Source organism: Homo sapiens, chromosome 13 (genome assembly GCF_000001405.40).
Source record: "Homo sapiens chromosome 13, GRCh38.p14 Primary Assembly".
Classification (NCBI taxonomy): Eukaryota; Metazoa; Chordata; class Mammalia; order Primates; family Hominidae; genus Homo; species Homo sapiens.
Window position 1 is genome coordinate 49,092,345 of NC_000013.11, and position 14,253 is coordinate 49,106,597.

Genomic DNA, 14,253 nt, shown 5'->3' on the forward strand with positions numbered 1-14,253 from the left:
GGTTGTAGGAGGGGCCAAATGCAGCAACTTATCCTTCACCTTAGGAGGAATGTCTCAACAGTCTCTCTTTTTCCATTTTTCTGCCTTCTTATCTTCTAGCGGTATTGGCAGCTGATTAGGTTGTGCCCATCCAGATTAAGGTTAGGTCTGCCTTTCCCAGCCCACTAACTCAAATCCTTTGGCAACCCTCACAGACATACCCAGGATCAGTACTTTGTATCCTTCAATCCAATCAAGTTGACACTCAGTATTAATCATCACACCGCCTTCATACCTTTGTTCACATTGTTCCTTCTTATAAAAATCACACAGGAGCATGCATACATACAGGTGAGAGCTTTCTGAATCTTTCCAGCCCTTCAAAACCCAATACTAGTTACATCTATTTTGAGACTCTTTCTGACCACTCCAATGTTAAAAAAAAAAAAAAGTGCTCCTTAATTTCTTGTAATATATATATTGTCAGGCTTATATCTCTAATCTGGCATGTTGTTTATTGGTCTATATTGTTATTTGTCTTTTTTTTCTGTCTCAGAGTCCATCTTTAATAATGTAATTAGGTGCTCATTGTCTGCCAAGATTGTGTTGTATGCATTGATTGCATTAATCAACTTTAAATCTTAAGAGAGGAACCTGAGATTCATAAAAAGCCTCATACCTAGTTATTGGTGGATCTAGAACCCAAATGAAAGTCTTTTTGATTTCTAAAGAATAATTTTTACCTGCACCAAGATATCTTAGAATCAACTGGGGAGTTTAAACATACAGTTGTGTAGGCCCACATCAGCCTTTCTCAACTGATTTATGATACAAAACCATGATACAGTGGTAGTATACTCTTTGTAGGCTACATTCCCCTCCGCTCTCCTCCCCGTAGCACTTACAACTGCCCCATACATACAGAAATTCAGTAAATGTTTATTTACTTATTTTAGGCATATAACAATAGAATTGTCTTTATTTCAGCACTTAGTCATTTCTAATTGCACAGATATTGCCTTATAGATCCTCAAGTAATGAAAAAAGGGAGAGAAAGTGACTTTGTTATTTAATTAGCATATATATTAGCTAATGGTTATCGAACGATCCCTGTACCAGTTAGTGTTGTAAACACTCTACATGTGACTAACCTATTCAGTCCTCCCAGCAACCCTTTCAGCTAACTATTATCTTCATTTTATATACGAAGAAATTGAGACACAGGTTAATAATTCGCCTGTAGTTACCAGTTACTGAATGACTCAGCTGCGACCTGAACTCAGGCAGTCTGGCTGCAGAGTGCATACTTCTAACAGTTACCTTACAGTGACTTCTCAAACATAGAGTACCTAAGATGGTGCTCTACTCATAGTCCAACAATGATTAGTTCCTCCAAACCATGTACTTGCTTCCTGAAATATTTAATATATTTCAAAATTGAATGCTGAAACCAAATTATTATACCAAATACTCTACTCATAAATTTATCTTTGAACCTCAAGACTATCTCTATCAAAAAGTGCCATTTAGCTTTACATGATTTATATTGCATGATGCTGGGGCAAACAGAGTCTCTTTTGGTTTTAATTGCAAGATGTAGTTTTTCCTCAGAGCATTGAGAGAACATGTTTTATTTCCTTTACTAATCCTCTGTTTTGAGGAGTGATTCACTGAAATAATTTTAAAGAGTGAACGATACAGATTTTATATTAAACAAAACACTGAGTATGAGAGTTTGAAAAAGGCTCTTTCTTCATTTATACCTAAGAAATACCTTAATTTTGATTACCCTAAATGGCAGAGGTGGGGTGGGGTGACTAATATCATTTGATTCTACTTTTTTGGAAAGAAATCTTCATCAATTGGTTTTAAGATATTTTTGCTAAAGATGATATTATTAGAGTTAATAACAATAGGCGTAAAAGGTGTGTGCTTTAAACCTTAACCTAAGCACAGAGTGTCCTTGTAAAATACCTTTCTGATTAACTGAAAACCAGAAGGCTTTTCCAATTCATTTTACTGAAAATATTTATAGAATAACAAATTCAGCCATGGTAAGCAGAATATACTGAAAATAATTCAGTCTTTCAGTGCCCTAAATCATTGTAAGTATTAATAATACTGATTGTACTATATAGTTGTAGATTATGTAGAAGATAGAGTTGAATCTAGATTAGAATATGGCCTGGGGGTTGCTTTTTAAACCCATTACTTTATGTAAATAATTCTTAACCTAATATTTGCAATCACTATTCCAAAACACTGGAGATGTAGTGATAAGCAACATAGACTGTATCCCTGACTCCCATGAAGTTTACAGTTTCCTAGGAAAGAAGATTTAAGGAATTCGATGAAGTGAGAGAAGTGTTGTGATTGAAAAAGAAAAAGAAAAGGCACTATGGAAGCATATAGCAAGAGCATTCAAACCAATCCAGGGACTAGAAAATACTTCCAAGAGGACACTTACAGGGTGAGCCTACTCTATTCTTTTTCTCTCAAAAATGGAAGATTAAAAAGTTTTATTAATTAGGTGTTTGCTTTAATCAGGACCATTTATTTGATATATATTATTAAGGATTTCAACAAAATTAACTCTTTTGTAATAAGAAAAAACATTACTTTTGCATGGAAAATACAGATCCATGGAAAATAATTGTGGCATATTTCCTCCAAGTATATGGTAGGATTATAGGAGGTTTTTCTTCTTTATACTTTACATATAATTTGATAATGTCAACATGAATTTCATAAATAATTATACAAGTGAAGTTTTAACCCCTTTTAAATTGTTTAGTCCAACTTTATTTAAAAATGTATATATATTTTTTTAAATTAAGACCCTAAGCTCATTCAGGAAAGTGAGATACCATGGTGTTTTTGGTGCAGATAAGTGGATTTTTAAACTAGTAAAAACTAAAAAATCAGACATATGAAGGTTATCAACACATCATTGTAGTCCATCAGTTTTCTAAAAATCAAGGGAGTGGAAGAAAAGAAATGTCTAAATTTCATATCATAATATAGAACTGGGTTAAAGGATTCTGCCACTCGGGATAGATAAGAAACCCGCTGGTCCAAATGCAGTGGTGTTTACAACTAATTGATCACATCCCGTTATGGATTTCTTTGTTTCCTTTCCACTCCCACTGCTTCACTTGACTAGCCTAAGAAAATAAAATAAAATATAAAGGAAACTCAAGGTAGAGAATCTTTATACCTTGAGGATTTATTTTCTTAACACTATGAAAGAATGTCTAGAAAGGTCACCTTCCTTATTAAAAATAAAAACCATACTCTCCAAAGTTAGCTTCATTAGAAGGATATCCTGGTGAGAAGGACAACTGAATCACAAACACAGAGATTTACCTTAGTTTAGCCTTGTAGTAACTTCTACCACATTTTTTGATTCAGGGAAGTACTAATTAAGCATTCTAACCCAGGGGCAAACCTTTGTAATTTTTTTCCAGGAGCATACCTGAGATGAGGCTAGGATGTCCAGAGAATACTTATATAACGTTATAAAGAAACTACCGTGCATTTATCTACTGTCATTTACATGCTTTTGTACCATCTGCAGAAAATGTTCTAGGAAACAGAAAAGATCTTTCCTGGTTCCTTTGTTTGTATGGCAGCATGTTGGATGTGATTTTTAGACACTACCTAGATATATAGAGATAGAAAAATCATTCTCCTCCAACTTATCTAGGATTCATTCTCTAAGTTTTCCTCTGTTATGGCAACAAACACTTTAAGCATAATTTCATTTTTCAGAAAGTTTCTTCCTGTATCTAGAGAAGTGTGACTTGTGCTCCTGACTGTGGTTATGGTCTTTGATTAAAGTGCATCCAAACATGTCACCATTAACCATAAGAATCACAAAATAACATAATGGTTGCAGGACAGGATTTCTTTACAGGTATGTTATTTTCTCTATGGCTCCAGAGGTTAAAATTATGACTCTACCAGAGTTGAGTAGAGTTAGCATTGGATTCTCTGATCCCAAAACCCATGTGATACCATTGTTTGAAGATGTTCATTCACTTTTAAAGAATGAATTTTAATCAAATCCAGTTTCCATTCTTTATGGTTTAACAGAGTTCTGTCTTTGACATTCCCTTTTGCTTTATCATGTAATCCTTCGATATTTTTGGAAAATCCTTTCATCATTACAGTAAAATACCATCATATTTCAATATTTTAATATTATTTTTAGTCTTAATGTGCTGAAGTTTCTCACTTCTTTTGTGTCCAGTCTTCTGTATTCAGCCACTTGCTAGAACACAGAAAACACAGTCACTGAATGTGTGCTCTTTTCCCTAGAGAGAGAATTTGTTTTAAGTGCCTTTTCATGTCCTGAGGGGCAACTCATTCTTGACAGTTATTTGAAAGACTTAGGCCTTGCCTCACAGCCTAGTACAACAGACAGAAAAGTAACCCACAGTTAAAACAAAGAAGGCCATGCTAAGTGCTATGATGGAGTTTATGTGGGAGGCCAGGGTAGGAATACCTGAGCAAGCATAGGGAAGTCATTGAGTGCTTAGGAAAATATGATGCTTGAAGAAGTAGAAGTTAGCCAGAAGAAAAAAATAAATAGAAAAGTATCTTCGAGACAGAAGGAACAGCATGTGCAAAGCCCAAGCACACACAGATTAGAGGAAACGGAAAAACTGTGATTAGAGAGGTAGCTTAGAGAAGAGACTGCATGGGAGAGTATCTGAAAATGAGACTAAAAATATATGCTACTTTGCAAGTACCGTTATATGCCACGCTAGAGATTTCACATTTTATTCTGAAAGGAAAGGGAACCATTGAAGGATTTTAAGCAGGGGATAACCAAAACTATAGTAATAAGAATGAGACCTGGAAGCTCAGTGTGGAGGGTGAGAAGAAACTAGGATGATTTACAAATTTCACAGACAAGAAGAACTATGAGAACAACTGTCTCAGCAGTTTTTATATTTTCCAAATATTTCTTTTAGATGATTAGCAGTTAAAAAAAAAAAAAACTTAGAATGAGGGAAAGCCCTTGCTTTTTTACATTTTTTTTTTAAACACTTTTTCTTAAGAAACAACACTGGTTGAGGAAACGCCACCAAAGCAAAAGCCTGAGGGTATGGGAAAAGGCCCTTGGCATGTTTTCATGTTAGTCTATGTCAGAGTAATGATGACAGAATGAAAGGTTATTAGATGTGCCTCCAGCTTTGATCTCTGTTTGGTTTTCCAGTTCCCCTGGGAAGTGCCAGTCTTACAACATAAACTAACAGGAAGGGTAATGCTTTAAGTGTACAGGCCTAGTTTCTTTTTGGGAGAACCTACAGCAGGATGTGAACATTCTGTGCCAAGCCTCCAGGGGTAAGTTCTGTTCCTTTTATAGAAGAGAAGATTTCCAATTAGGTGTGGGTGTGTTTTCAGGGATAATATATTTCGAAACCTTATACATATGATTACTCATAAGCCATCCAGCTGTAACCATTAAAAAATTGATATTTTGATGCCCGAAAAGACTAATAAAGTTTTAAAATTATAGGCCCAAAGAAGAAGTGACTATTGGGAAGAAGACCTGAAATTACAGTAAATTGTAAGGCCATAGTGTAGTGCTCCAAATCTGAATCAAAGTGATATTTTGTCAAGCACAGCATATTATATAAAATGCTTAATAAATGGCAACATATCTGCAGAAGATAGTCTAAAAAGCCTAGATACAGAAGCCTTTTTACAGATAATTCAGATGGCTAGTAGAACCTTAAGACATGTTTCTAAGGGCCCAGACCTTAAAGCACAGAAGCTGTGAGGAAACTAACATATAGATTCTGTTGTATGGGCAATCTATAATTAAAATAAAAAAGTTTAGATATTATGTAAAAAGAGAACCTAGCACAACCCTTTTTGACACTAGCAGTACTGATTTAATGCAGTCTGCATGGTAGATGACTAGCCTGCTTTGTCACTTGAGCAGTTTTTTTCAGTCTGTGGCCTTAATGTTTGATCCTGACAGGATTTGCGTCACTGATCCATATCACTGCCGTGTGATGTCAAAGTGTGGGTGTTCAGTTATTGAGGCATAGTTAACCTAATGTGCTGCAGTAAATCCTAAGTGCTCCTTCCTACTAAAATAACAAAAGAATGATTCATCATTGTTCATATTAGGCTGATACTAAAAATAGTAATGTTCACAACCTGCTGCATTCATGGACATTAATATCACAGCCTCTGCAGCTTTCTAAACAAGTGCACTAAAAATAATTTCTTGTTTAGAAACAGGTGCTTGGTAAACACATCTCCTTCAAGTTTTCTATTTATATGCAGTTCAATTTAGTGCTAAAGGTAGATTCTAACCATAAGTCATTCTTCAAATGTACTCTACTTAGTGTTTATCACTGATACATCTAATTGTGCTGCAAATCTAATCATAGAAATTTTCAGTTACTTGTACACAGATAATGAAATTATCCACAATTCTGAATCATACTTAGGCCCCTAATTTAAGCATTCTGCTTTATCCAAACTTTAAAAAGAATAATAAATTTCCAAGGAAAAGAAAGGTCTCTAAACATCTAAGCATGAATAATGACCTTGATCTTTTCTCTTTCTCCTGTAACTTCCTTATTCTGTTCCCAAGTTCTGACTCACCAATTTGGTGAGTTCCTAGATCAAGGCTTACACTAATTGCCTGCCTTATATGAATAAATGTTGCTAGGTGTTTCATAGCCTTAATAAATAAGCATTCCTTATTAGTAAGGGGACCTTATATCCCAATTTGTCTAAGACAGTTCTGGTTTTTGCCTCATCTTGATATCTAACTGGTATGACATTTGTCTTGGATTTATCATTTTTAAAACAATATTATTAGTAGTTCATTAAAATAAGTTGTGATAGATTTGGTTGACCACCATTTTGAATTTCCAGCTTCCACCTTGATCTCTAGTAAGTAGCTCATCTGTCTCTTTTTCACTTTAAACTTGTGGTTAAATCTTAGACAACCCAAAATAAATCATTCTCTCTTCCTGACCCTTGCCAGAAGCAAGTCTTAATTAACAGTAAGTGAAAGTGTGCTTAGATTTAAAGGACTGGGAACTAACTCCTTTCAGTTTCCTGGTAGTAGTGGCAGAAGTATTTGATGCTGCTGTCTTTGCTGGCCACTTGGTGTCACCAGGGCACCAAGTGGAAGGACCAGTGGGAAGCATATAGGTTAAATAAATAAATATGAGGAAATTAAATATTTCTGCCACTGAATATATAAAAAATAGCTTGAATGATTTTTATCACTTATTGTATTGTGTATAACTGTTACTTGGCAGTACTTTTTTATCTTGCAGTAAACTCTCTCAGCAATAATGAGCTCAAAAACAAGGTCTAAATTTGGTGAAACATGCAGAAGAAAAATAAAGACGATTCAGTGAGATTTGTAAAAATATGTAACATTTTTATAGTACTTAATATTGTAAAAATATTTGAAGTATTTACACATCTCGATAAGAAACAAAAAATAGAACTGAGAGTATCCTCCACTTAGCAGATATGCTCCCAGCTTACCAGATAGCACCTTAGAAACAGTTTTTCTTAATATAAATGTTGTAGTCTTAAAATATTACAAAAAAGAGTCAATTGAAGGTATCAGCAGCTTTAAGTTTATAAACCATAAAATACAACATTGTAAGCAATTTTATTTTAAAAATTAGGATGACTATTTGAAAGAAGAAATTTTTCAATTAAATACCAGTGATAAGGAATTAAAGACAGGTATAGCTAAGAAATTAAAATACATATATACTAAGAATAATTGTTCCATTTATATTACTCCAATATTCAGATACTCAATATGAAGAATACCTTTAAATGCTCTTTAATGTACTTGCATATGTTTTTTAATAAAGCATTTTATTTTTCGATAGATTTTGTTAGAACTTTATCTCCCTCAGTGTAATTAAAATATATCAGTCAATAAAGAAACATACCAAATGATGTATTTTTAATGATTTTTAGCCCCCTTTTTCACTTTCAGAAGTGTTCTTGATTGGATGATGATAATATAATTATCCTACCTCTGCTCTGTTTCCTCCTTCTTCCTGTCACCAGAGCTCAGCCAGCCTGAAAGATAAATCCCTATCCCTCTTACGCTAAGCGTTATTCCCAAACCCTTTTCCATAGATGTAGGGATATTTCATCAGTCTAGGAAATAGGAATAATAAAGATAATGTAGTGGTTTTTCATTAAGTTAAATTTATTTACTTAAGACTTTTTAAAAATTCTGAAGTTAAATCTTTTATAATGTTTGAAGTTACAGTATCCTCTTTTTATGAATTGATGTGACAATATAGGATAGACTTCCTTCTATCCGTTCTTAATTTCTTCTTAACTTTTAATGTCTTTACTTGGCCTAATGAAAAGCTGGTTAATGAGTCCCCAGAATTTGTTTTGAAATTTTGCTGTCACATAAATCCAAATGTTTGGGAAATACTAACTTAGAACACAGATAACTTCTGTATTGACCATTTTCTGGTTAATATCTAACCTCCTAACCTTATCCAGGCACCCTCACCCCTCAAATCAATCCAAAATATATTTGGCCTTAGACTGATCCTCACATTGCTTTCCTATTAGCATGTATAATGTAAAGTAAAACTTTTGTTGAATCGACATCTTAGTATAAGTAAAGGGGAAAATTATAGAGAAAGAAATCAGCGACTATCTGGTGAGATATGCAGGTTGATTAAGGCCTCTGAACGGGATAAGAGGTAAAACCTGGGTGAGAAAATGAGAAACAGTTAAAAGGAGAAGAAACAAGGTTTGATTTGTGCCCAAGGACAAAATTATAGTTTCTAATTCTTCACTCCCCTTATCTCCCTTTAGACTATTTGCTTATTTCATTGTCAGTCACTCCCTGGCAATAGACTCCTTCCCATGGAGCACCTGGTTAGTTGCAGATTTCATTGATCTTTCCTTGGTCCCTCGACTCTGTGGACATGTGTCAATTAAGCTCTAAGCTGCATGAGTTTAACACATATTATTTAGATGCTTATTCAGAACCTGCACTTTAATACTGCCACAAGAATCAGAGTCAGGGTCAGAGTCAGTCTTTTGAAATATCAGATAAAAATAGGTAGAAGAGTACAAGAGTGTACCTCACATCCCATCCTTTTATATCTTAGTGACCTGAAACCACTCTTTGTTTAGCTGAACGAGTCTACCTTTTAAATTTTTGGACATGCAAATGACCCTGATTATTATAATCTAACAGCAGCCTTAATAAACAGCTGATCTGGTTTGCCAGGAAAAAAAAAATCAAAATCAACTCTTCTTTTAATTTGCCTCATAGCTGACAATCTCTTTCTGCAAATCAACTGATTCATCTGTTGTAGCTGTTCATTTTGCAACTATATTGGAGGACATGTTGCTAAAAGTTGGACATTTATGGATGCTTTACTGAATTTTATATATGGTAGAAGTCATCTTGGACTATACCTGCTTTAGTTTTTTTTTTTTTTTTTTTTTTAAGCCAAATCATTGGAATCATGTTGTATGGCAGTGTGGGCAATACTTAAACTGCAGAAGGGAAGAACTAACTTAACCAACTTAACAGCGTGGTCCTTGGTACCTGATTTTAATCATGTTTCAGCTTACACAAAGCAGAGAGCTTTTATTGCTCATCCTCTAGTAAGAGCATAAGACTAGCCTTCCTCCTTTTTAAATTTTTATGTATTTATTTATCTCACTGTTTTGCCCAGGCTGGTCTCTAACTCTTGGGCTTAAGCATTCCTCCCACCTCAGCCTCCCCAAATGCTGGGATTACAGGCATGAAGCAAGCGTAGCTTTTTTTTTCTTGATTTTTTTAAGCTTACTCTTTATTCTTATTGTTTTTTCTATATTAATTTTCCCTTTTCTTCAATTTATCATGGCTTGTGTTTTGGTTTGGTTTTGGTGCTACATATATCTTAAATCACCTTAAATTGTCTTTTGGAATGGGTTGAGCTACTAATTCACTGATTGTTTTCCATATAATATCCCTTACTTACTAGAAACAGTTTAGGATCTTTCTTCACAATAGTTTCAGTGAGATAAATATAGGTACATTTTGCTTTATTATATGTAACTAGCAGATACTTAGGGCATAATAGTGTTGGGTTTTCCATCCAAATGTCAGTGCTTTTTGTGTGCTTTAGGCGATATTGACTCCTACCTTCAGAACCCTTCTAAGAAAACTTAACAAGACTTAACTTCATACCCTTACTATTCTCCCATTTGCCACAGAGTTCTCATCCTCAGTGTTAGTGACGTGGTCACTACATTCAAGGACCTTTTGGTTATAGTGAGGACAATACAGGATGCTTGTATTTTTTGTTCCCTAAAGACCTCATTAATTTGAGTATATGTGTCAAACAATTTTTCTATAGGAATAAACACAGAGGATGCATTGAGGAGATTACAGTTTATAGGAATGCATTATGCAGTGACCAGCATATTTTTCATTTTTCCATTCTTGTTTAATTATATGATAATTTTAGCAAACTTAAAAATGTACCTGCTTATTTTTGTAATATTATCTCAGATATTTTGCAGAGAGCTATCTTAATAGCATGGCATGTCATAGCAGTTGTTTGGATTTCTTCATAATATTTTAACATATTAACTACCATTCCTGAACTATTGATTTTCAGGTAGGCTTGTCAATACAAGCACTAGCACTGTGCTTAGGTGACATTGCTTAAGCACTTACTGTGTACCAAACACTGTTCTAAGTGCTGTACAAATATGAACTTATTTAATCTGCATAATATCTCTATGAAATAGAATAATTATTTCCAGTTTACATGTGAGAAAACTAAGATACAAAGAGGTTAAGTAACTTGAAAGGTCTCACAGCTATAAGCTGTCATTAGAATTAGATGGGCTAGCTGAGTCCATGTTCTTCATCACTACCTTATGCTGCCTTATGTTTAAGCTATAACAAATTATAATAAAATGAATGATAAAATAGCAAAATAGTAACAAAATTCCATTTGAAGACATTTTGATCCCAGTGAAAACAAATGTGGTTCACACAGTATTGACAAGGATAGACTGGTATTTTACCAGTTTGAGTGGCATCACCCAGTTCATGTGGAAGCATAGTAGGCTACAGTAAAGAATTTGGACTTCATCTCATCACAATACAGAATGGTCTCTGGGTTATAAGCAGAGGAGGATACAATGAAATTTGTTTTTTAGATCAGGTTAGCATTAGTGTGAGAGATGTATCAATTGCTAGGGACTGGGGGCAAGGAGACCCATTAGGAGAATACTGGAATAGTTCTAGAAAGAGCCTAGTGCTGCTAAGGCAATAGCAATGGAGTAGAAGAGAACATGGATTTGAGAGATATTTAGGAGATAAAACTGTCAGAACTTCCAAATAGATGATGTGGAAATTGAGATGGGGGGAAAATAGAGTCTAGGATTATTCTCACATTTCTGGCTTAAGATTAACTTATCATGGGAAACACAGAGGCGGAGTGACTATTGATGGAAAAAATAACTGGTTTTGAGTTTTATGTAAATTAAGTATTATAGATCTAGAGCTCAAGAAAAAGTCTGGATGAGATACAGAATGATAATCTTTCATGAGAGTAGTAAATAAGATCATCTTGAGAGATCATGTAGAATAAGGGAAGTGGACCAAGAGCAAAACTCCCAGGAAAATAAACACTTAAGGAAGAACAGAAGACAAGAAGCCATTAAAGAAATTGAAAAAGTATGATCAGGAGGTAGAAAGGAAACTAGGAGAAACTAATATTTCAGATGTTAAGGAAGAATATTTAAGAGAGTTGTTAGCAATGTTCATTGGATTTGGTAAGTAAGAATTTCATCTCAGTGACTTTTGCCAGTGCAGTTTCAGTAGAGTGGGCTGGACAAAAGCCTGATTATGGTGGGTTGCAATGTGATTTTGGGGCCGGGCGCAGTGGCTCATGCCTGTAATCCCAGTACTTTGGGAGGCCGAGGTGGGTTGATCACGAGGTCAGGAGATCCATACCATCCTGGCTAACACTGAAATCCCATCTCTACTAAAAATACAAAAAATTAGGCAGGCATGGTGGCGGGCGCCTGTAGTCCCAGCTACTCGGGATGCTGAGGCAGGAGAATGGCGTGAACCCAGGAGGCAGAGCTTGCAGTGAGCTGAGATCGCGCCACTGCACTCCAGCCCAGGTGGCCCAGGTGACAGAGTGAGACTACGTCTCAAAAAGAAAAGAAAAAAAAGAAAAGAAAAGAAATGTGATTTTGGAGACTTCCATTTCAAGTCATTTGGTAGAATGGATGCTCTGCTCTAGGTACCATCCTCTTATTAAAAAAAGATCTTCTGTAAGAATTTTAATTGCATTATTGTGCCCACAAAAAGTAAGAGACATGTCCTAGGGGATAGGGAGCAAGAAACAATGCTGGGACAGTTGGTTATCCATTTGGATTAAAATGGAATCAGATCCTTTTCTCATACCTTACCCCAAAATTAATGCTTGAAGACTTAAAGACTTATGTGAAAGGATAAACTTAAAAATAATAATAAAGAGAGAGTATCTTCATGACTACAGAGTAGAGAAAGTTTTTTTAGGATACAAACACACAAAATGCTAACTATCAAATGATCAGTAAATTTGACTCCATTACAATTAAGAACTTTGGTACATCATAAAATATATGAAAAATATAAGTCATAAACTAGGAAGAGTATATTTGCAACCAATGTAACCGTAAGGAATTAGTATCCAGAATACATAAAAACTCTTCCCAATCTATTTTTTAAAAAAGACTACCCAGTAGAAGAATAGGTGGGAAACATGGACTGGGTAATGCAAAATAAGATCAAAGTGAGATTGGCAAAAATTTAAAAATCTAAATACCAAGTAATGGAGGGAATGTGAATCAGTGGAACTTCTTATACATGCCTGGCTGGTAGGAATATAAATTAATATACTCGGGAAAACTATGTGGCACTATCCTATAAAAACTAACATTCACAAAACCCTAAGACACAGCATTTCCTCTCTTAGGTACATACCTTAAAGAAACATTTGCACATGTGAGCTGAGAGACATAGAGATAGCAGCAGTGTTCTGATCCATGCTTCTCTCTAAGAGATAGCATTAGATTGTCTTCTCTATCTACTTTAATTCCTTTGTTGATGTCATCCAGTCTCATGGATTTAAAGCCTATCTACCAAAGACTCTGGAATTTGTATCTCTAGACTAGGTAAGTATTTCCTTGAACTCCAGAATAGTAAAATGAACTGCCTGCTAGTTGAAATCTCCATTTGGATGACTAATAGACATTTCTAACGTAACATGTCCAAATCTGAATACCTGATCATCCCCAAATACGCTTCATCCACTTTTGTGCTATTAAAATTAGTACTGCTATGAATGTTCTAAATTACATCCTTCGGTTGGTGTTATATGTAAGCATTTCCACTGCCCATATACTTAAAAGTAGAATTACTAGATCATAGAGTATGCATATGTTCAAGTTTAGTAGATATTGCCAGTTTTGCAAAATGGTTGTACCATATACTTACCAGCAATATGTATAAGTCAGATGAATTTTTTTTAATATAACTTAGATCATGTTTTAAAATCCAGCAATGGCTCTTATTTTACTCAAAGTAAAAGCATACAGTAACCTATGAGGCCTAACAGAGTGTAGCTCATTTCCCTCTTAATCACTCTAACCTCACTCCTTTTCTCCCCCTTCACTCATGCTGCTCTGGTGACAGTGGTGTCCTTGTTAAGTCTTAAACATGCCAGTCATGTTCCCCCTTAGGGCCTTTACACTGGTTGCTCCCTCTGTGTAGAATGTTCTTCCCTCAGATATCCATATGGCCCACTCCCACACTTCTTTCAAGTCTTGGTTCAAATGTGACCTTCTCATTGAAACCTAAACTGATGTCTGTATTTTAAATTGCAGTATTCAATCTTCCCCCTCACCATCAGCCTATCTTAGTACTTAAAATCCTTTTTACCCTACTCTGTTTTATTTGTTTCTTTTGAGATGGGGTCTCACTCTGTTGTCCAGGCTGGAGTGCAGTGGCAGGATCACAGCTCGCTGTTATCTCAGCTTCCTAGGCTCAAGCAAGATTCCCGCCTCAGCCTCCTGAATAACTGGGACCACAGGCATGCACCACCACACCCAACTCAGTTTTTGAGATTTTTTATGGAGATGGGGTCTCACTATGTTGTCAAGTCTAGTCTTGAACTCCTGGGCTCAAGTGATCCACCTCAGCTTCCCAAAGTGCCGGCATTACAGGCGCGAAGC

General features: G+C 35.2%; 1 protein-coding gene and 1 pseudogene across 6 annotated transcripts in view; both read left to right on the plus strand.

Moving 5' to 3' along the window:
- Positions 1-14,253, plus strand: part of FNDC3A (fibronectin type III domain containing 3A) — a 234,489-nt gene that overhangs the window by 117,054 nt on the left and 103,182 nt on the right. The window contains exon 1 of one of the 6 annotated variants that reach the window (XM_011534997.4): positions 5,273-5,331. The exons of the other annotated variants lie outside the window; for them this stretch is intronic. The gene's annotated coding sequence lies outside the window, so the exon portion shown is untranslated. Of the gene's footprint in view, positions 1-5,272; positions 5,332-14,253 lie in introns of those variants that run through there. 6 annotated transcript variants of the gene reach the window in all.
- Positions 3,048-3,145, plus strand: RNY3P2 (RNY3 pseudogene 2; annotated as a pseudogene).